At 54.8% G+C, this 20,527-nt stretch overlaps 2 protein-coding genes and 1 long non-coding RNA gene across 5 annotated transcripts in view, besides 10 other annotated features; 1 reads left to right on the top strand and 2 right to left on the bottom strand.

The window, feature by feature from the left end:
- Nucleotides 569-868: a silencer, noted in NCBI's record as "silent region_145". NCBI's record gives its function as "represses an Ori minimal core promoter by ATAC-STARR-seq in GM12878 lymphoblastoid cells {active_cell/tissue: GM12878}" and the evidence as "EXISTENCE:reporter gene assay evidence [ECO:0000049][PMID:35858748]".
- Nucleotides 989-1,128: a silencer, noted in NCBI's record as "silent region_144". NCBI's record gives its function as "represses an Ori minimal core promoter by ATAC-STARR-seq in GM12878 lymphoblastoid cells {active_cell/tissue: GM12878}" and the evidence as "EXISTENCE:reporter gene assay evidence [ECO:0000049][PMID:35858748]".
- HES3 (hes family bHLH transcription factor 3) lies at nt 1,166-2,565 on the bottom strand. The gene is made up of 4 exons (NM_001024598.4): nt 2,503-2,565; nt 2,298-2,393; nt 2,115-2,196; nt 1,166-1,634 (listed from the first exon to the last, which is right to left on the bottom strand). Exons 2-4 carry the CDS (start codon nt 2,376-2,378, stop codon nt 1,237-1,239), a joined length of 561 nt encoding a protein of 186 aa, NP_001019769.1. The 5' UTR covers nt 2,379-2,393; nt 2,503-2,565; the 3' UTR covers nt 1,166-1,236.
- Nucleotides 1,279-1,438: a silencer, noted in NCBI's record as "silent region_143". NCBI's record gives its function as "represses an Ori minimal core promoter by ATAC-STARR-seq in GM12878 lymphoblastoid cells {active_cell/tissue: GM12878}" and the evidence as "EXISTENCE:reporter gene assay evidence [ECO:0000049][PMID:35858748]".
- Nucleotides 1,279-1,633: a biological region, named in NCBI's record as "ReSE screen-validated silencer GRCh37_chr1:6305171-6305522".
- Nucleotides 1,282-1,633: a silencer, noted in NCBI's record as "fragment chr1:6305171-6305522 (GRCh37/hg19 assembly coordinates)". NCBI's record gives its function as "represses an EF-1alpha promoter that drives an FKBP-Casp9 reporter gene in an ReSE screen in K562 erythroleukemia cells {active_cell/tissue: K562}" and the evidence as "EXISTENCE:reporter gene assay evidence [ECO:0000049][PMID:32094911]".
- Nucleotides 1,870-2,427: an enhancer, noted in NCBI's record as "H3K4me1 hESC enhancer chr1:6304377-6304934 (GRCh37/hg19 assembly coordinates)". NCBI's record gives its function as "activates a minimal SCP1, AML or CMV promoter by ChIP-STARR-seq in naive H9 embryonic stem cells {active_cell/tissue: H9 hESC(naive)}" and the evidence as "EXISTENCE:reporter gene assay evidence [ECO:0000049][PMID:30033119]".
- Nucleotides 6,185-6,931: an enhancer, noted in NCBI's record as "OCT4-H3K27ac-H3K4me1 hESC enhancer chr1:6299873-6300619 (GRCh37/hg19 assembly coordinates)". NCBI's record gives its function as "activates a minimal SCP1, AML or CMV promoter by ChIP-STARR-seq in naive and primed H9 embryonic stem cells {active_cell/tissue: H9 hESC(naive and primed)}" and the evidence as "EXISTENCE:reporter gene assay evidence [ECO:0000049][PMID:30033119]".
- Nucleotides 7,300-10,504, bottom strand: ICMT-DT (ICMT divergent transcript). Its single transcript, NR_103534.1, has 5 exons — nt 10,408-10,504; nt 9,594-9,778; nt 9,399-9,499; nt 8,896-8,930; nt 7,300-8,523 (listed from the first exon to the last, which is right to left on the bottom strand). It is a non-coding gene; the product is annotated as an ICMT divergent transcript (long non-coding RNA).
- Nucleotides 9,575-10,547: an enhancer, noted in NCBI's record as "H3K27ac-H3K4me1 hESC enhancer chr1:6296257-6297229 (GRCh37/hg19 assembly coordinates)". NCBI's record gives its function as "activates a minimal SCP1, AML or CMV promoter by ChIP-STARR-seq in naive H9 embryonic stem cells {active_cell/tissue: H9 hESC(naive)}" and the evidence as "EXISTENCE:reporter gene assay evidence [ECO:0000049][PMID:30033119]".
- Nucleotides 10,512-10,841: a silencer, noted in NCBI's record as "silent region_142". NCBI's record gives its function as "represses an Ori minimal core promoter by ATAC-STARR-seq in GM12878 lymphoblastoid cells {active_cell/tissue: GM12878}" and the evidence as "EXISTENCE:reporter gene assay evidence [ECO:0000049][PMID:35858748]".
- ICMT (isoprenylcysteine carboxyl methyltransferase) overlaps nt 10,780-20,527 on the top strand; it is a 14,772-nt gene continuing 5,024 nt past the window's right edge. Inside the window, exons 1-4 of one of the 3 annotated variants that reach the window (NM_012405.4) lie at nt 10,780-11,027; nt 11,770-11,858; nt 13,101-13,270; nt 14,625-14,842. In NM_012405.4, coding sequence (NP_036537.1) covers nt 10,833-11,027; nt 11,770-11,858; nt 13,101-13,270; nt 14,625-14,842 — 672 coding nt within the window. In that variant the 5' untranslated portion in view covers nt 10,780-10,832. Of the gene's footprint in view, nt 11,028-11,769; nt 11,859-12,232; nt 12,340-13,100; nt 13,271-14,624; nt 14,843-20,527 lie in introns of those variants that run through there. The other 2 variants (XM_047416592.1, XM_011541140.3) reach the window with 2 other exon arrangements.
- Nucleotides 11,052-11,111: a silencer, noted in NCBI's record as "silent region_141". NCBI's record gives its function as "represses an Ori minimal core promoter by ATAC-STARR-seq in GM12878 lymphoblastoid cells {active_cell/tissue: GM12878}" and the evidence as "EXISTENCE:reporter gene assay evidence [ECO:0000049][PMID:35858748]".

The following is a 20,527-nucleotide window of genomic DNA, read 5'->3' as shown; positions in this document are numbered from 1 at the left end:
TTGAAGGACCGTGGGTCCTTCTCCACGCGTTTGGACCAGGACGGGTTTAGTGCCCTGCAGGTCAGGGCCGCCCAAAAAGAGAAGAGCTTCTGTAGAAAGTTGGTATTTGTGGTTACAAAAGATGCACCTAACTAGGCATCGCAGGGGTGGGAGACATTAGACCTCTGGTGTCCTCTTGATACCGACTTCGCAGATTCGCGCTGGCTTTATTCTGAATTACAAGGTGTCGGGAGAGGGTGCCAGGATCTCTGACCCCACAACCCAAGCTGCCCCTCGCTGGCCCGGACTCCTGGGCCAGAAGCCCAGGGGAAGAAAATCTGACTTGAGAGCCTCCCACCACCGAAGTCCGTGCGCAGCAGTGACCTCATTATGGACCAATAAAGTGGCGCAGCGCGCTCCGAGAGCCGTCCAGGGATTGGATTCTCCGGCAGCCCTAGGGATCTGGAGCTGCGGGGTCTACGGGGTCCGGGCTTGGAATGTGGGCCAGGGTCTTTGTCGAGCGGAAGGCGTTCCCCTCTCCCACGAGAGGCACCGGGTTCACTTTTGCAGCCTTCAAGCTGGTGCCACCAAGCAATGGGTCCCTTCCAGGAACCGCGTGGGCGGGGCGTCCGGTTGGGGCGGTGCATCTTAGGGGCGGGGCTTCTGAGAAGGGTGGGCCTCGGGGAATGCGCCAGCCCGGTGGGCAGCACCGCTTGCGAAGGAGGTCCTTGGAAGTCAAGAGGATCCCGGGTTGGGGGAGGCTGGGGGCCCCTTGCCGGCGGGGCGGGGCCAGGCGCGCTTTGTGCCGGTGGGAACCGGGCGCCCGCGGTCCGCTGAATGGTCCGGGGCGGGGCAGCGATTCTCCTCGCTGCGAGGGGTCAGCTCTGCGCTGTTGCCAACTGCGACATTCCCACCGCTGCGCGGCAACCGGGCGGGGGTGGGGGCGGGCGGGTTGCCCGCCAGGGGTCCCTGGGAAAGGGGCGCAGCCCAGGACACCCCCTCCCAGCCCCTCCGGAGGATGGGCGGAGAGCGAGCGGTCCGGCGTGTGTAGGTGGAGCTAGAGTGGGGGTGGATTATGCCCAGACGCGCAGACCCAGTCCGGCAGGGCTGGGGGTATTTCCCTGCGCTTGCGGGGTGCGCGGCCCTCTCCAAGCCACCCCCGCCCCACGACCAGAACGGACGACTGGGGGGTCCTGGCAGTCACTGTGGGCGTGCTGAAAATAGTCCCTGTGTCGCGAGACCAAATAGGGAGCGCCTTCAGTTCAGGTCATCCCCGGGGCTTCCCCAGGGCCGCCACACGCGCAGGCCCAGCCCGGGACTCTCGGCGCAGCGACTCGACGCTGGCTGCGGCGGGGGGACGCTGGCGGACGAGCCAGGGAGACTTTCGGGGAGGAGGAGCAGGGGTGGTGGGGACCGCGGGCCGCCGGCGGCCGGAGCAGGAGCCCAGACGGCAGGGGTGCAAGGGCGGAACAGCGCGGGCGCCTCCTGGCCCAACCCGGCGCTGTCCATGGTGCTGCCGGCGGCGCTCTCGGGCACCAGGGGGCAGCGCAGGCCGCTGCCGACCTCATCTCCGCGCCGAAGGAGCTGGCTCACGCCGGGCAGGCAGCTGCGGAAGCCCGACGGTTGCTCGGCTCCCCTGGGCACAGGCCAGAGCCCTGTGGGGAAGAGCGGACGCGAGAAACAGGGAGGGGAAGAGAGGGAAGGGGAAGGGGAGGGGGAGGGAGAGGAGGGGAAGGGGGAGGGAGGGGAGGGGAGGAAGGGAGGGAGGAGAGGGGAGTGGAGGTGGAGGGGAAAGGAGGGAGGAAGCGTGTTGAGGAAGGGAAGAGGAGGGCGGAGGTCAGACGACCCGAACGTCTCCCCCGGGGTCCAGACCTACCACCCAGATTGCAATCGCACAGCCAGCCCGGGCTTTACTGCTCCTCCCTCGCCCCCTAGCGAGCTGGGGCCCCCTCCTCACCAACTGCACCTGCCTCCGAGTTGTCCTCTTTATATTTGCTGTCTTGCCATGTTGCCCAGGCTGGTCTCAAAAGCCCGGGGTCAAGCGGTCCTTGAGGTATCCCTCTTTATTTGGCCTTGTGCATCCCTGGCTCTGATCCCACAAGCCTCCCCCTCCTCCCTCCAGCCCTCCCCTATACCTTGCAAGGAGTTCTGAAGGCTTCTCATGTACTTCACGCTCAACTCCAGGATGTCGGCCTTCTCCAATTTGCGCTTCCGGATCTACCCGACCATGGAAAGGTCTATTAGACCGGCCTCCCGAGGTGGAGAGAGGGAGGTTGGGATCGTATCACCCACCCACCCCCACCCCGCCTGAGTCTCACCTGGTGCGAGTAGTGTTTCTCCAGCAGCGACTTGAGCTGCTCCAGTGACACATTGATGCGTGCCCGGCGCTTTTTCTCCATCAGCGGCTTGGAAATCTGCAGATGAACAGCCTTTAGAGTGCAGGACTGCCACCCTCCTGCCCTCGGCACCCCCCCACACCTCCCGGGGAAGGGTGCCTGCCCCTAGTCCCTCAAGACCCCAGACCTTTCGGAAGTTGCCGGGGAGGCTGCCCCGGGCAGCAGGCTCCGTGCCCATGTTGCAGTCCATGCACCAGTGCGAGGCAGCGCCGCCTTTATAGGGACCCTCGTTTACATGTCAATGAGGCCCTCTGGACTCTAGAAACCTTGAGGAGGAGGGGACCGAGGGAGGACGCACTGGGAAGCTCCCCACCTCCTTCCCTCAGCCCCCTCCCATAGCCTAGGCTTCCTCTCACCTTCAGGACCCCCCCTGTCTCCCGAGGGACCCCCCCCTCCCCTTTATCTGTCTTTTCCTTATCTCTCTGGCCTCCACCACTTCCCCAGTCTGAGGACCCCTGCCATGCCCACCCCCTCCATGCCCATCCTGTCCCAATCCCCGTAAGTTCTCCAGTCCCACTTGCCAAGTCCTTGATACCCTGGAGTGCAAGCATTCCAGGGGTCACCTACTGGGGAGGTACATGGGCCAGCTGGCCACAGGCTGCCTCACTGACTATGACAGGGCTCTGGGCTCCCTCGGGACTGATGAAGATGCCAAGGCGACGCCTCTTTATGCACTTCATGCTCTGGTTATACCCGCAACGCCGCATTAGTTGCCCTAATGTCGGGACAATGCAGCAATTTTCTGCCTGTGGCTGCTCAAAGCCAGGCACAAGCTGAGCCCGCGGGGGCCATGCAGCAGCCTGTGTCCCATTAAAGCATGCAGCCCACCCGCGGGGCCACAGCCAGCCTCATCCTTGCTGGGGCCTTGGGATTGGGAGGGGTCCTGGTGAGGGTGCAGCCTGGGTCCTGTGTTCTCTGACACTGCTAGGATCCAACGCGGACTTCCCACAGGAGGCAGGTGGGGTGAACACGGCTGCCTCTCCCTTCCTTACAGCCCTGGGCTTCCAGGCTGGGTGGCTTTGGTGGTAGACCCTGTCCCCATGGAGAAGCACTAGAAGTCTACTCCCATGAGCCTGCTCTCAGCTCCACGCACAGGTGGTGGTGGCAGGAGACCACTGACATTCTGGGAAGAGCTCCAGGCCACACTTCGAGAGATCCAGGGCCCGCACCCCAATCTATGATTCAGACTACGGCGGACCCAGTGGAGGAGGCGCCTGGAGCACTTGCCCCAGGATGGGCTAGGCCTACAGCAAGGCTCTGGGGCCATCCCCCTGGTTGGACTCCAGGAGGCTGAACTGTAGCTGCTGTGATGGACAGGAAGGCTGACCTCCAGGAAGTCCCTGGGTTCAAACCTAGACACCTCCCATGGGCCCTCATGGCTTTAGTTTTTGGGGCTTGTAAAATTATATTCTGAACAATGCAGCCCCCATTGCTTCTGAGGGTGACAGGGAAGTCGCAAAAATTCTGCAGCTGAGCCCTGTGGCAGAGGAATGAACAAACCGGCTTCTGTGTAGGGACTCAGGGTGGGGTGCGCCCCCCAGCTCTATCAAGCCAGGGCATCTCCCCCCAGCCCGCCCCCGCCTACCCTTCCCAGGATAGCGGCGTTCCCAGGCGCCAAGCAGCGTGGAGAATCGCGCCACGCCCTCCCCCTTTCAGGCCGAGGCAGCGGCAACAGCAGCTCTGGGGCTCTGTCCAGCCCGGACCGCAGGGCCCGCGGGCCAGATCCGGGCCGACCCGGGCCTGGGAGGGCGGCGGGGGCCGAGACCAGGCGGCGGGCGCTGGCACGCGCCGGGCAGCTTTGAAGCGCCAGGACCGGCCGGGCCGGGGCGTCCTCCATGCGACTCGCTCCGAGCTTGGGGCGGTGGCGGCGCGGTATAAAGGCACCGCGGGGCGGGCGGGCGGCGCGGCCGGGCACAAAAGGGGCAGCCGAGTGTTAAGGGCATTGTGCGGGCCCCACAAAGCGGCGCCCGCGCCCGCCCCCGCCCCCTCGGGGCCAAACTCCGGGCGCCCCGCCAGGCGCGGACTTCCAGCTGCTGCACATCTGCACAGAGGCCTGGCGCGCGTCGCGCCCCGGCGGGCCTCCCCCTCCCCGCGTTCTCGAGCTGCGGGGCAGCGGGGCAATTTGTCCTCTAATTACAATCCTTCCCTATAAACCGCCGCCCGCGCCTTTCAACTCGAGGGCATTAGCAAACCAATGGCCCTCCGCGCAGCTCTCGCGGCCCGCCGCTGGGTGCCGGGCCCGCCCCCTCTCCTGAGTCCGGGCCGCCATAAAGGGGCCACGAGGCTGCCCCCGCCCGAACCCCGACACCCGCCGTTCCCAGGGCCACCACCCCTCCCAAGCCCGTCCCCTGGGATTCCAGGCGCATCGGGCCGGGGGCGGGGGGACGCTCACGTGGATAGCTTAGTGTTTCTTAAGCAGTGGAAAATTGACCGCAAAATGCTCTAATTCGCAATGTTCTGCTTTGGCTGCGGGAGGCGAGGCCCGCCTCAAGGCCTGGGCGGAATTCTCAGGCGTCGCTCCGCCCTGGTCCACTGAATGGACTTCCGCCTCCGTTGCCCCCCGACCCCAACCCCGACACTGCCCGCCGCGCCCCCTGTCCTGTGGCCCGTTTTCGGTCAGTGGTCTCCCCACCTGGAATGATCCCCCTACTTTCTGACGCCCCCACCCGTGGCTCCTCCATCACAAACAGCCTCCTTGGCCCGCTACTCGCCTTACACTGGCCGAGGGTCGCGCAGGATCAAGGTGGGGAGAGATCTTGGTGCGATTTCCACCCTCCCCTTTCCCGAGCTCTGAGCCGAGTTTCTCCCCACCATCGCCACTTTACCCTCACTTCTTGCTCCTATCTCTGGGCAGCCACTTCCCCTACTAAGTTAAAGTCATTGTGCTTTGCATCTGACAAGGTCATTGGGAAAGACAGCAGACTAGTCTCTACAGGGACCCTTCCCGGAAACCCAGGCTGAAGACTCGGGGTCCACCCTCCACCCCAGCCTGTCACGCTGATTACAAGCCCTGAGTCTGGGCATCCTCGCACAGCCTCAGGCAGGCCTGGCTCCAAAGGGGCTCACAGAGACCAGGAGGTATTTTCAGAGCTGGAGGGGGAATGGCAGTGGGTTCACCCTATCCTCTGAGGGCAAGCAGGACAAAGTGCTCTCGGGCTGCCAGGAAGGGCATGGACCAACTTAGAAGCGGGGCTTACGCAAGCTGGGATGTAGGCCACCAATTCCCTTTCCATCTTTAGCATCTGGGGTCCCCAAGGCGGCCTGGAAAGGAGCACAGGTCCAGGAGGAGAAGTGGGGAGACCCAGGCCCCCCTATGCTCATTCAAGGAAAAAAACTTCCTTCTCTAACTTCTGAGGGCTCTTAGAGCCTCCAAGGCTGCTCAGGGCCCCCTCCTGTCTCATGTTGGGGAATTTAATGCAGAAAGTGACAAGTGTCTGTGCCACCCCTTCCCCCCTCATTTGGTTTTCTTGAGTTTGACAAAAAAAAAAAAAAAAAAAAAAAAAAAAGAACATTATGTCAGGTCTGGAACCAAGAGTAGGGAGAGGTTTTCGGGCCCCAGGACAAGAGCCCTACCTGCGGCCCATCCCAGAGGACAGCCGTGTGGCTCCGTGTGGCAGCCCCTTCCCTTCTGTACTTCCAGAGGTTTCAACCAGTGCTAACTGGTGAGTGCCGCACAGGCTACTGTGGATGCAGGTGACGAGGGAGAAATCTGTTGTCCCCCTCTGCAGATGCATTTCAAAGTGAAATGAAGTGATTGCTCCATGTAATTAACTATTGGGACACACAGCAAAAGCTCTGAAATGACTCAGCCAATTGTCTCCAGATGCGGTTGGAGAGGCTGCGATTGTTTAACTCTCTTTAGCTGTGTTGGGGCTCCCAATAGCCCAGCAGACAAGGGCCCTTCAGAGGACAAAGGCCGGGACTCCAGCGAGTGCATCAATGCTGACCTGGCCCAGCTCGGGGAGAGTGAATTCAGAAAGACCCCCATTGCCCTGGCCTTTTGTGTTTCTCCCCAGCTGGCTCTAATCTTTAAATATTTACCCGGCCCCTTTGTGCATATATGACTTGTGCACTTTGGGCTGATGGTGCTCATAAATTACATATCGTTTACCTGTTTTCCAGCCTAGAGAGAGGGAGCTTTCATTCCTTTAGCCTGGAATGGCCAGAGGAGGGGAAAGAAAACTTTTGGATGACAGGGATTCCCTCCTGGGAAGAGCTGCGGCCACACTGGACAGGCCCCTCCCTGCGGCCCTCTCAGCTTCCATATGGACAGGGGATGGGGCAGAGGCCTGTGAATGACTGGGAGCTGCAGGTGATTAAAAAAAATCACCAATCTGGCCAGGCATGGTGGCTCACTCCTGTAATCTCAGCACTTTGGGAGGCCGAGGCCAGCGGATCACGCGGTCAGGTGTTCGAGACCAGCCTGGCCAACATGGTGAAACCCCGTCTCTACTAAAAATACAAAAATTAGCTGGGTGTGGTGGCAGGTGCCTGTAATCCCAACTACTCGGGAGGGTGAGGCAGGAGAATCGCTTGAACCCAGGAGGCAGAGGTTGCAGTGAGCTGGGATCGTGCCACTGCATTCCAGCCTGGGCAACAGAGTGAGACTCCATCTCAAAAAAAAAAAAAAAAAAGAGAAAGAAAAAGAAGCCTAATTTCATCTCGGCCTGGAGTTTAACTTGGAAATAGCACAGTGGTTCTCAGGGTTCTCTAAAACAGGAGGTATCCACACTCGGGTCCCAGAAATAAAGCCACCTCAGCCTGTAGGCGGATGGCAGGAAGGGGAGGGAAGGGGGAGGTTGCAGAGGGACCTTCCTGCATGAGAAAGGGCTCCCTTTGTGCCTGCCTCGAAAGCTCCTAGAACAAAACACATTCAAATGCTTATTTACAAGAAAAGTCAAGCAAGGCATCCCAGGCAGAGCAGTTTTCCTTTTTTTTCTTATATTTTTGTAGGTGTGTTGTCCCCAAGCATGGAGGGCTGGGTGCACAGTGGGTCTGTTTGATCAGATTGCTTTCCTCTGTGGCGGGAAAGCAGGTCCCTGCATGGGGTCTGCGTGTTTCTGTGCATCTCCGTGTGTGTGTTTCCCTGTGTCTATGTGCAGCCCTCTGCATGTGACTTTGTTCCTCTGGTTTGATGCCCATGTGTGCTTAGATCTGCTTCCTCTCCTTTCTCCTCCATCACTGCTCTGTGAACCCTGGGCCCTGACAGATTCGGCAACTCCAGCAACTTCTGAAAATTCTCCTTCCCTGGAGTCCGGCCCCACCTGGGAGGAGACTGCTGCCTCTCCCTTCTTTCTCCCTTCTCCAAAATGGGGCTGATGAAGAGGGAGGGGCCAAGGGGAGGTGATGGGCAGAGGAGAGAGCATTGCTGTGGTTCTCCAGTCTGGTTACATATTACTCTACAACCCCGAGTGGCAACAGTCCCTGGGGGTAAATCAGGGCTGTCATACATTGAGGAGAGCAGAAGCCAGGAAGGGCTTCCCAGGCACAGTGGGTTTTGGCCCCAGGACCAGCTCCCTTCCAGGGGTGAAGGTGCGATGAGTGCCCTCTGGTGGTCCTGAGGTGTCCTGGAGCAGAGGGAGATGTCCTGAGTCTGTGGGAGACCACAGGAAACTGGCGACAGTCACAGGAGCTCTCAGCTCCCAGGAACATTCACATCCAGGCCTCCTTCCCATGTGGCACTGCAGCTGAGTGACTTTGATTTTTAAAACATTAAATCTCTTTTCAATTCCCATCCACCAAGTTTAGCACGTTTTCTGAGCACCGTTTAAACATGGTACTGGAGCTAGGCGCAGTGGTGCACGCCTGTCGTCCCAGCTACTCAGGAGGCCGAGGCAGGAGGATGGCCTGAGCCCAGGAGTTTGAGGCTGCAGTGAGCTATGATCTCGCCACTGCATTCCAGCCTTGGCAACAGAGTGAGGCCCTGTCTCAAAAAAATCAATAACTAAAATAAAATAAAGTGGTACTGGGCTTTACAGAACAAATACCAATCTGTGCCAGAGAAATAAGGATCCCCACTGTACAGGAAATGGAGGTGCATAGAATGGATTTGCCAAGGTCACAAAGCTAGGCCGCAGAGGTGAGGGGTCCGGGATTCTGGCCCAGGCTCTCCATCCAGCTTCCCAGGTACCAGAGCTCCTGCCAGGACCTGCAGGGACAAGAGTGGAGAGGGGCTCAGATGCAGGGCTCACAGACCGCCTGCCTCTCTCGCTGACCCACCACTTGATGCCAGCCTCCCCGAGGGCCTGTCCCCATCCCTTCTCAGCCTTTCTCCCTCCCGCCTCTGTGCCTTTCAAACGCCAAGCCCTCACTCCCTCCTTGATCTCATTTCCAATGGAGGGCAGGCTGTCCATCCCCAAGGGCCCCAAGGCCTAGCTCTGGCGTCTGTTCCTCGCAGCCTCCTCGCCCTGCCGCCCTCCAAGCTGAGGGCCTCCCCTGGGGTCCCTCTTTGCTCCCCATCCTTGCTCTCCTTCTGCCCCCACTGCCACCCCTGCAGAGTTTATTCCAGTTGTTCACTTACTGGCTTTTCTCCTCCAGCGCAGCTCTCTGAGCTACCTGAGGTGAGAGAATTTACTCTTTAAAAAGTAAAGAAAAACTTGATTATAAAAGTAATCTATGGGCCGGGCACGGTGGCTCATGCCTATAATCCCAGCAGTTTGGGAGGCCGAGGCGGGTGGATCACCTGAGGTCAGGAGTTTGAAACCAGCCTGGCCAACATGGTAAAGCCCCGTCTCTACTAAAAATACAAAAAAATTAGCTGGCCGTGGTAGTAGGCTCCTGTAATCCCAGCTACTCAGGAGGCTGAGGCAGGAGAATCACTTGAACCCGGAGGCGGAGGTTGCAGTGAGCCGAGATTGCGCCATTGTACTCCAGCCTGGGCAACAAGAGCAAAACTCCATCTGAAAAAAAAAAAGTATCCTGTGTTCATTGTAGGCAGTATGGAAACTGCAAAAACAGATAAAGACAATAAAAATCACCAAGAGTGCCACTACCTAAAGATAGGCCAGGGGTGGTGGCTCATACCTGTAATTCCAGTGCTTTGTGAGGCTGATTGGAGGATCACTTGGGCCCAGGAGTTCCAGACTGCCGCACTCCAGCCTGGCCAACACAGTGAGACCCTGTGTCTAAAAAAGAAAAAAAGAAAAAAAAAAGGTACATATATAGTCGGCGTTATACCATTTTGGCTGATAGCTTGATCATTTTCCCAGGCTCAGATACCTGCCCTTTTTCCCCAAGTGAAGTCAGGATCACACCGAAAAGCTTTGCCTCCTGCTATTTAAAAACCTAATATAGGCAGGGCGCGGTGGCTCACGTCTGTAATCTCAGCACTTTGGGAGGCCGAAGCGGGCGGATCACGAAGTCAGGAGATGGATCCCGGCTAACACGGTGAAACCCCGTCTCTACTAAAAATACAAAAAAATAAGACGGGCGCAGTGGCGGGCGCCTGTAGTCCCAGCTACTCGGGAGGCTGAGACAGGAGAATGGCGTGAACCCGGGAGGCGGAGCTTGCAGTGAGCCGAGATCGCACCACTGCACTCCAGCCTGGGCGACAGAGCGAGACTCCGTCTCAAAAAAAAAAGAAAACCTAACATATCCTGAGCATTCCCATCACCGTCCAGCCTTGTTCCACAACAGGAATTTAAGCGGGCGGTGGTCCCGTTGCATGGATGCCCAGGTGCCGTTGTCCAGGCCGGTTTCCAGGGAGCCGCAGAGGGAGGGCAGGAGGTCGCCGCACTTGGCCCCGCGCCCCAGGGCGTCTGGTTTTCGGGGACGACGCAGGGCCGGCGAGGGTGCGGCCGTTTCAAAATTTTTTTTTTTGAGATGGAGTGTCACTCTGTCACCCAGGCTGGAGTGCAGTGACACAATCTCGGCTCACTGCAACCTCCGTCTCCCCGGATCAAGCGATTCTCCTGCCTCAGCCTCACCAAGTAGCTGGGGTTAAAGGCGTGCGCCACCACGCCCAGCTAATTTTTGTATTTTTAGTATAGACGGCGTTTCCCCATGTTGCCCAGGTTGGTCTCGAACTCCTGACCTCAAATGATTCGCCAGCCTCGGCCTCCCAAAGTGCTGGGATTACAGGCGTGAGCCACCGCGCTCGGCTCGTTTCAAACTTTACATTGCTTCTTGGGACAGGAACCTCCTGAGTTTGGGACTAAGTTTGGACAGACGCGGGCGGCGACTTCTCCCACCACTTCCCGGCCCCCGCCCGGCACAGAGTCTGGCTCAGAGCCCGGATGTCCCCGAGGGGCGGGGAGGGGCGGGCGGGCGGGGCGCTCCCGCCAAATTCCGGACAGCAACAGGGCGGGCCGGAGTTCTCGCGAGAACTGGCAGGCGGCGCGCAGCTGCGGGCAGCTGCCCTTCCCGGGCCGGCATCGGCGGCACAGTGCGCAGGCGCAGCCGGCGCGTTTCTCCGGGCTACAGCCGGCGCCGCCGCCCGCTAGTCCGCCGCCCGGCGCCATGGCGGGCTGCGCGGCGCGGGCTCCGCCGGGCTCTGAGGCGCGTCTCAGCCTCGCCACCTTCCTGCTGGGCGCCTCGGTGCTCGCGCTGCCGCTGCTCACGCGCGCCGGCCTGCAGGGCCGCACCGGGCTGGCGCTCTACGTGGCCGGGCTCAACGCGCTGCTGCTGCTGCTCTATCGGCCGCCTCGCTACCAGGTGCAGGCCGGCGGGGGCCGGCGGGGGCCGGCGGGGCGGGCGGCGGTCCGCTTGGCGCGGCGCGTGGGCACCTTTCTCCCCGGGCCCGCAGTGGCCTCCCACGCGCGCGCTCTTCATCCGCGAGTTCAGGTCGCAGGAGGGGACCCTCTCTCTCCGGGCTCGGGCGCCCTGCACCCGAGGAGTGGGTTGTTAAATTGCAGCTTGTGCAGCTCAGCAGGTGCGCGTGGGGTGGAGTGAGCGAGCCCGCGAGTGCTTTTATGTAACTTAAGGTGCAGAGACCTACCTGCTGCCCTGTCTCAGGTCAAAGGCCCCGCAGTGACGTGGGTGGGGCTGGGCGCACAGGCCCGGGTGCCCTGACCTCATAAACTAGGCTTAAGCAGTTTTCCTACAGCCCTGAATAGTAATCACGAATAATAATAATAATGACAGCTAAAATGTAGGTAGCAGTTAGTCTTAAGTGTTTTACGTGGGTAATCCTTACTGCAGTCCTAAAAGGTAGGTACTGTTATCCCCTGGCTGTAGATGGGGAAGCAAGCTCAGAGAGGTTAAATAATTTGGGAGGCCACACAGCCAGAGAGCGGTGGGTGCAGAATTTGAACCCAGGTCGCCCACTTCTCCCTTTCAACCTCAGCAAATCGGCTCTATCTGCTTGCCTGTGGGTTGCCTATTCCGGGAAGGTCAGCAGCCCAGATCTGTACTCTGAGGACTGTGAATGACTGAGCTTCTCTTGGGTTCCTTTCAGATAGCCATCCGAGCTTGTTTCCTGGGGTTTGTGTTCGGCTGCGGCACGCTGCTAAGTTTTAGCCAGTCTTCTTGGAGTCACTTTGGCTGGTAAGAATTCCTTCGGAAATACTGGTTTTCAGGCGAGGGTGGACAGATCAGAGGGTCTGTAGCGGCATTTCCTCATCCCTGTCTCATCTGTGACCGGCAGAAGGCTGTTCAGGGTTCTCTGGAAACGAAGTCTCCTGGCTTCCCCCTAGTTGCTCACATTTCAGCCCTTGTGATTTCGTGCCTGTGGGTTGATTGTGAATCAGGCAGAAACAGATCTCCCTGGCACCCCCAAAGGTGCTGTCATCCGCAGCTGTGGTGACAGCATTCCGTAACTTGAGCAGCCCTTCCCGGAAGGGGTGCAGGTCCTCGGTGGCGGGCAGGGGCAGGGCTCTGGCTTGTCTTCATGGGCCTTTTTCATCTCTAATTTCTATTAGGTCACATCTAGTGCATCCCCACAGCCACTGTAGGATTTTTCCCTACACTATGATTTCAGTCCCTTGAGCCTTCTAGTCTGACCTGGATATGAACCAGTGGCTTCAAGGTAAAAAGTTTTATCTCCTCTTATCAATATTTTGAGCCATCTAATCCTTCTTTGCCGGAATTATTTCAGTTTTGTTAAATTTTGTATCCGACATACATCACTCCTTTATGTTGTTATCTCCCTCTTTCATGTTTTATTGTGTGTAGTGTCATTTTTAACGGACAGAAGGGCCCATAATGCCTCTGTGACCTATGGGTTTGTTTTGCCTGTGACATTCAAAAACAGTCCCTTGCCGGGCGCGGTGGCTCACGCCTGTAATCCCAGCACTTTAGGAGGCCGAGGTGGGCAGATCACGAGGTCAGGAGTTCAAGACCAGCCTGGCCAAGCCAGGAGTTCGAGACCAGCCTTGCCAACATAGCGAAACCCTGTCTCTACTAAAAATACAAAAATGAACTGGGCGTGGTGGTGGGCACCTGTAGTCTGAGCTACTTGAGAGGCTGAGGCAGGAGAATCGCTTGAACCTGGGAGGCGGAGGTTGCAGTGAGCTGAGATCACGCAGTTGCATTCCAGCCTGGGCGACACAGCGAGACTCTGTCTCAAACAAAACAAAACAAAACACCAGAAACAAAAACAGCCCCTTAAAAACTCCACTTTTTGCAAACCTGAGGTAGTAGATGCTGCAGATGGGTACCTGTGTCCACTCTCAGACAGGTGAGAACAGGGCCTCATAGACTTAGGGACAGCTCAGGAGACCCAGATGTGCACTTATGGTTAACTTGGTTCTCTTGTCCCAACTTAACTCTCTTTTTGTCTTTAAATAGGTACATGTGCTCCCTGTCATTGTTCCACTATTCTGAATACTTGGTGACAGCAGTCAATAATCCCAAAAGTCTGTCCTTGGATTCCTTTCTCCTGAATCACAGCCTGGAGTATACAGTAGCTGCTCTTTCTTCTTGGTTAGAGTTCACACTTGAAAATATCTTTTGGCCAGGTTCGTGTGCCTTATGTCCCCCTCTGGAGGGGAAAAGGGTGGCTCCCATTCAGGCTGAGGACAGTGACATTGATTCACCTTTCAGGTCTAATCTCCCCCAAGCGATTTTCCGCAGACCTCTATCCTCACTAAGCTATTTATAAAGGATGAGCTCCGCTCATGAATTCTGCCTCTGGATATTGACTCGAGGACGTGCTGACCTTTTGCTTTAAAGTTTGCATCACATAGTGCACCATCTAATTTGAAGCCCCAACCTTGAGTAGTTGTGATTCTAATTTTATAATCAGATGATATTTAGACGTTTCATGTAAGAGTTTACTGGCCGGGCACGGTGGCGAACGCCTGTAATCCCAGCACTTTGGGAGGTCGAGGCGGGTGGATCACAAGGTCAGGAGTTCGAGACCAGCCTGGCCAATATGGTGAAACCCCGTCTCTACTAAAAATACAAAAAAGCCAGGCGTAGTGGCACATGCCTGTAATCCCAGCTACTCGGGAGGCTGAGGCAGGAGAACTGCTTGAATCCGGGAGGCGGAGGTTGCAGTGAGCCGTGATCGCGCCACTGCACTCCAGCCTGGGTGACAGAGCGAGACTCCCATCTCAAAAAAAAAAAAAGAGTTTACTAACAAGGTCGGGTGCAGTGGCTCACGCCTTTAATCCCAGCACTTTGGGAGGCCGAGGTGGGTGGATCACATGAGGTCAGGAGTTTGAAACCAGCCTGACCAGCATGGTAAAACCCCGTCTCTACGAAAAATACAAAATTAGCCGGGCCTGGTAGTGCATGCCTGTAATTCTAGCTACTTGGGAGGCTGAGGCAGGAGAATTGCTTGAACCCAGGAGATGGAGGTTGCAGTGAGCTGAGATTGTGCCATTGCACTCCAGCCTGGGCAATGAGAGTGAAACTCCGTCTCAAAAAATAAAAGCCTCCGTATGTGGAATGCACTCTGAAATTGAATGTCTCACAGCCAATGAAATGAAATACATGTGGCTCCTGGGATTCAGGGTGGAAACCTTGGACCCTTTTTTGCTTCTCTTAGCTATACTTGTCCCCAGATGAAGGACTGAGCATGTGGCCGGGGGTCGTGAACCAGAGAGCCCATCAGCTGTAGCAGGAGAGCATCTCTTTACCATGATGCTTTCATTGTGCTTATTGGTGTTTTAAAGTAAATTGATGAACAGCATAACTTAGGGGAATGTGTTTTCTTATGAAATTTTAATGTGATGACAAATGCTGATTGCCCAGCAGCACATTTTCTGTTTCTGTCTTCGGGAAAATAGGTTAATTTTAAGCAGTGCGAAGGGGAGCTCAGGCCAGTGTTTTCACTCCCCGTGTGTCGTTGATGTCTCTCTCCCACAGAACTGAAGCAGATTACCTGGCTCAGTGTCACAGGGCTGCTGATGGTGGTCTTCGGAGAATGTCTGAGGAAGGCGGCCATGTTTACAGCTGGCTCCAATTTCAACCACGTGGTACAGAATGAAAAATCAGATACACATACTCTGGTGACCAGTGGAGTGTACGCTTGGTTTCGGCATCCTTCTTACGTCGGGTGGTTTTACTGGAGTATTGGAACTCAGGTATAATATTAAATATGACACTGCTTTTCTTTTTTTTTTTTTTAAGTAACATTTTAAACGTGATATTCACGTAGCATAAAAGTCACCATTTCAAAATATACAATTAGTGGTTTTCAGTGTATTCATGAGGTTGTTGGTCTCCTTTAAATAATAGGTACATGTTCTTCTTGGCGCGTTTCAAGTGATAATTTAATAAAAGTCAAGAGAACTAATGTAGTCCTTAATGCTTTTCACTATGTGCCCAGAACCTGGGTGCGTAAGTCCTTGGTGATTCTTGGTGCTGTTAGCTACCTGCTGTATCCCTTCATCCTGTTTCTGCCTCTGTTTGTTTGTTTTCTTTTTTCTTTTTTTTTTTTTGGTAGAGACAGGGTCTTACTGTGTTGCCTGGGCAGGTCTCAAACTCTTGGCCTTAAGTGATCCTCCCACCTCAGCCTCGCAAAGTGCTAGCATTATAGGCATGAGCCATTGTGCCTCTCCCTTTCTCTGCCCCTTCAACCTATTAATAGATCTGAAGCACCCCAGAGGGGGTGAGGACAGAGATGGGGCTTAGGGAAGGGAGTGCCCTCTGTCACTCATGTGGCAGCTTGGCTAGTTTTCATCAGAAATAGGTATTAATGGGGCCGAGGCCATGTGTTAGTGAGCTGTGTGAGCCATGGAGGTTTGTTCTGTCTCAGGCTGAAGAAAAGGCCTTGTTTCGTTTCTTTTCTTTTCTTTCTTTCTTTTTTTTTTTTGAGACCTAGTCTTGCTCTGTTGACCAGGCCAGAGTGCAGTGGTGCGATCTTGGTTCACTGCAACCTCTGCCTCCCAAGTAGCTGGAACTGTAGGCACGAACCACCATGCCTGACTACTTTTCGTATTTTTTTTGTAGAGACAGGGTTTCTCGAGTTGCCCAGAGCCATCTTGAACTACTGAGCTCAAGCAGTCTGCCTTCCTGGGCCTCTCAAAGTGCTGGGATTACAGGCTTGAGCTACAGTGCCTGGCCTTTTTTTTTTTTTTTTCCTTTTTGAGATGGAGTCTCACTCTGTTGCCCTGTTGCCCAGGCTGGAGTGCAGTGGCATGATCTCAGGTCACTGCAACCTCTGCCTCCCAGGTTCAAGCGATTCTCTTGCTTCAGCCTCCTGAGTAGCTGGGACTACAGGCGCCCGCCACCACACCCGGCTAATTGTTTGTATTTTTAGTAGAGATGAGGTTTGACTGTGTTAGCCAGGATGGTCTTGATCTCCTGACCTCATGATCTGCCCGCCTCGGCCTCCCAAAGTGCTGGGATTATAGGCATGAGCCACCGTGCCCAGCTTTTTTTTTTTTTTTTTTTTTTAAAGACAGGATCTTGCTGTGTTGCCCAGCCTGGAGTGCAGTGTTCTGATCATGGCTCACTGCAGCCTTGACCTCCTGAGCTCAAGTGATCCTCCTACCTCAGCCTCCCAAGTAGCTGGAATACATTACAGGTGTTGCCACCACGTCCGGCTAATTTTTAAATTTTTTGTAGAGGTGGTTCTCCTGGACGGTTGCCTGTAATCCCAGCACTTTGAGAGGCTGAAGTGGGTGGGTCACTTGACATCAGGAGTTTGAGACAAGCCTAGCCAACATGGCAAAACCCCATCTCTATTAAAAATACAAAAATTAGTTGGGCCTGGTGGCACATGCCTATAGTCTCAGCTACTCGGGAGGCTGAGACCTGAGAACCGCTTGAACCTGGGAGGTGGAGGTTGCAGTGAGCTGAGATTGTGCCACTGCACTCCAGCCTGGGTGATGGAGTGAGACTCTGTCTCAAAAAAAAAAGAGATGGTTCCTCCTTTGTTGCCCATGCTGGTCTTGAACTCCTGGGCTCAAGCCATCCTCCTACCTTGGCCTTCTAAAGTGCTGGGATTAGGCCAGGCATGGTGGTTCTTACTTATAATTCCAGCTAGTCGAGAGACTGAGGCACAATATTTGCTTGAACCTGGGAGGCAGAGGTTGCAGTGAGCTGAGATCACGCCACTGCACTCCAGCCAGGGTGACACAGCAAGAATCTGTCTCAAAAAGAAAAAAAGAAAAAGAAGTGTAAGGATTATAGGTGTGAGCCACTGCACCTGCTCTATGTGTGTGTGTGTGTGTGTGTGTGTGTGTGTGTGTGTGTGTATTTTTTTTATTTATGTATGGTTTTTTGTTTTGTTTTGAGGCAGGGTCTCTCACCCAGGCTATAGTGCATTGGCATGATCATGGTTTACTGCAGCCTCTACCTCTTGGGCTCAAGTGATCCTCCCACCTTAGTCTCCTAAGTATCTGCCCAGGCTGGAGTGCGGTGTCACAATCTCGGCTCATTGCAACCTCCGCCTCCCGGGTTTGAGTGATTCTCCTGCCTCAGCCTTCTAAGTAGCTGAAACTACAGATGTGTGTCATCACACCTGGCTAATTTTTGTATTTTTTAATTAATTTATTTTTTTGAGATGGAGTTTCACTCTTGTTGCCCAGGCTGGAGTGCAATCATGTGATCTCAGCTCACTGCAACCTCTGCCTCCCGGGTTCAAGCGATTCTCCTGCCTCAGCCTCCTGAGTAGCTGGGATTACAGGCATGCGCCACCATACCCGGCTAATTTTGTATTTTTAGTAGAGACGGGGTTTCTCCATGTTGGTCAGGCTGTTCTCGAACTCCCAACCTCAGGTGATCTGCCTGCCTTGGCCTCCCAAAGCGTTGGGATTACAGACATGAGCCACCATGCCCAGCCCCTGGCTAATTTTTGTATTTTTGTAGAGACGGGGTTTTTCCATGTTGCCTAGGCTGGCCTCGAACTCCTGCGGTTGAGTGATCTACCCGCCTCGGCCTCTCAAAGTGCTGGGATTACAGGCGTGAGCCACCACATGTATTTCTTTTTCTTTCTTTTTTTTTTTTGAGACAGAGTCTCACTTTGTCGCCCAGGCTGGAGTGCAGTGGTGCGATCTTGGCTCACTGCAACCTCCACCTCCCGGGTTCAAGTGAGTCTCCTGCCTCAGCCCCCGCGAGTAGCTGGGATTACAGTTGTGCACTACCTCGCCCAGCTAATTTTTTGTATTTTTAGTAGGTTTAGTAGGGGTTTCACTGTGTTGGCCAGGCGGTTCTCAAACTCCTGACCTCAGATGATCCACCCGCTTCAGCCTCCCAAAGTGCTGGGATTACAGGCGTGAGCCACTGCATCCAACCCGCATATTTCTTTTTTAAAATTACTATTTGGCTAGGCACAGTGGCTTTGGGAGACCAGAGCAGGAGGATTGCTTGAGGCCAGGAATTAGAAACCAGCTTGGCTGGCCGGGCATGGTGGCTCATGCCTGTAATCCCAGCACTTTGGGAGGCTGAGGCAGGCAGATCATGAGGTCAGGAGATCAAGACCATCCTGGCTAACACAGTGAAGCCTCATCTCTACTAAAAATACAAACAATTAGCCTGGTGTGGTGGCACGCATCTGTAGTCCCAGCTACTTGGGAGGCTGAGGCAGGAGAATGGCGTGAACCCGGGAGGCGGAGCTTGCAGTGAGCCGAGATCGCGCCACCGTACTCCAGCCTGGGCGACAGAGCGAGACTCCATCTCAAAAAAAAAAAAGAAAAAGAAACCAGCTTGGCCAACATAGTGAGAACCCTTCTCTCCAGAGGAAAAAACTAAAAATATATCTGGAAGTTGTAGTGTGCACCTGTAGTCCCAGCTACTCAGGAGGCTGAGGCAGGAGGATCGCTTTGATTGCTGCTGTACTCCAGTCTGGGCAACAGAGTGAGACCCTGTCTTAAAAACAGAAAACAAAATTATTTATTTGTGTATTAAAGATGAGATCTCGCTGTGTTGCCCAAGCTAGTCTCAAACTCCTGGGTTCCAGCAGACCTTCTGCTTTTGTCTCCTGAGTAGCTGGGACTATAAGTGTGCACCACCATGCCCAGCTAACTTTTTGTTTTTTGTAGAGATGGGGTCTTAGTGTTGCCCAGGCAGATTTTGAACTCCTGGGCTCAAGCAGTCCTCTCACTGCAGCCTCTCAAAATGCTGGGATTACAGGCATGATCCACCATGCCCAACCCAAAGCCTTATTTCTTTTTTTTTTCTTTTTGAGACAGAGTCTCGCTCTGTCGCCCAGGCTGGAGTGCAGTGGCGCAATCTCGGCTCACTGCAAGCTCCGCCTCCTGGGTTCACGCCATTCTCCTGCCTCAGCCTCCTGAGTAGCTGGGACTACAGGCGCCCGCCACCATGCCTGGCTAAATTTTTTGTATTTTTAGTAGAGACGGGGTTTCACTGTGTTAGCCAGGATGATCTCAATCTCCTGACCTCATGATCCACTTGCCTCAGTCTCCCAAAGTGCTGGGATTACAGGCGTGAGCCATCGCGCCTGGCCGCCTTATTTCTTGAAACTGTTTCTTGATTCTTTACTCTTGGTCCTAGAAAAACTTGGCCAAAGAATGTGAATAGATCTTGGAAAATTCACGAAGTGTTTGGGAAAAGTCTCCAAGTCTTTGGGCAAATCCAGAGATCTCTCAGGCATCCCATCAGCAATGCATGGTCCTTGGTGACTCTGGTGACCCCTAACGGTATAGGTGGGGCAAATGATCACATAGCATTTACAATTTTTGTTTCTGAAACATGTAAAACCGCCACATTAACAATCACCTTCCCTGGGAACAAATTAGTTATGACTGAATAATGTAATTTGCCATAAATGCTTGCTTCCTGTATATGTGTGTGCACTAGAACCAAAGGGTTTTCCATACCTTTTTGCCCATAGATTTTTTTTACATTGTGCTCCAGCACTTGTGTGTGTATGAAAGGAACATGTCTTTCCTGATATAATACTTACACTTACTGTTTACAAAATCCTGTTTTCTATCTTATTATTTCAATACTGTTCATAATGTACTAAATGATTTCATGGCTTAGTAACAGGCTGCAGCCTGCTATAGAGAACTCCCACTGTAGGGTATCCCCAGCAAGCTATGCCAGATGTGAGGGTACAGGCCCCGGAGTCACTGACTGGGCCAGTCCTGATTCTGACATTCACTGCTTGGCCTCCTTCTCCTCTCATGTTAAAGTGGGGGCAGCTAGACATAGTGGCACATGCCTGTAGTTCCCCCTACTCTGGAAGCTGAGGCAGGAGGATGGCTTGAGGCCAAGAGTTCAAGTCCAGCCTGGGCAATATAGTGAGACCCTGTCTTTAAAAAATAATAAAATTTTAAAAAAAACAAAGTGGGGATAGTAGCGTGCCCTCAAAGGTTTGCCATGAGAGTTGAACAGGGTAATGATTGTAAAGGGCTTAGCATGGCGCTGGGAACATAGTAAGTGCTCAATAAGAGAAGGTGTGAGAGGTCAGGACATGAGCCTGGCTCTCCGGGTGGCTGTATTGGAGCCTAAAATATATATTCAGAAAACATACAGAAAATGTATGTTGGGGAAGATGCACATCCACAGGGGACCAGTGGGCAGGTGTAGGTGAGTGGTTCCCTGAGGAGCTGGGGAATGCTTTTGGCCTTGAAGGACTGTTTGGCTGGAGATCAGTGGGAAGGATGTTCTTTGTTTTTTTTGAGAGGGAGTTTCGCTCTGTCGCCCAGGCTGGTATGCAGTGGCGATCTCAGCTCACTGCAACCTCTGCCTCCTGGGTTCAAGCAATTCTCCTGCCTCAGCCTCCCAAGTAGCTGGGATTACAGGCTCCCACCACTACGCCCAGCTAATTTTTCTATTTTTGGTAGAGACGGGGATTC

This window comes from Homo sapiens, chromosome 1 (assembly GCF_000001405.40).
Source record: "Homo sapiens chromosome 1, GRCh38.p14 Primary Assembly".
Lineage (NCBI taxonomy): Eukaryota > Metazoa > Chordata > Mammalia > Primates > Hominidae > Homo > Homo sapiens.
The sequence above is the reverse complement of the archived record's forward strand: the minus strand, read 5'-3'. Positions and strand labels throughout refer to the sequence as shown.

What these genes read in the sequence shown, in the direction of transcription:
- HES3 (NM_001024598.4), bottom strand. Translation starts at nt 2,378, where the DNA reads ATGGAGAAAAAGCGCCGGGCACGCATCAATGTGTCACTGGAGCAGCTC. An exon ending in AGAAACACTACTCGCACCAG is followed by an intron (nt 2,197 to 2,297) that starts GTGAGACTCAGG and finishes ATGGTCGGGTAG; the next exon opens with ATCCGGAAGCGCAAATTGGA. An exon ending in CCTTCAGAACTCCTTGCAAG is followed by an intron (nt 1,635 to 2,114) that starts GTATAGGGGAGG and finishes TCTTCCCCACAG; the next exon opens with GGCTCTGGCCTGTGCCCAGG.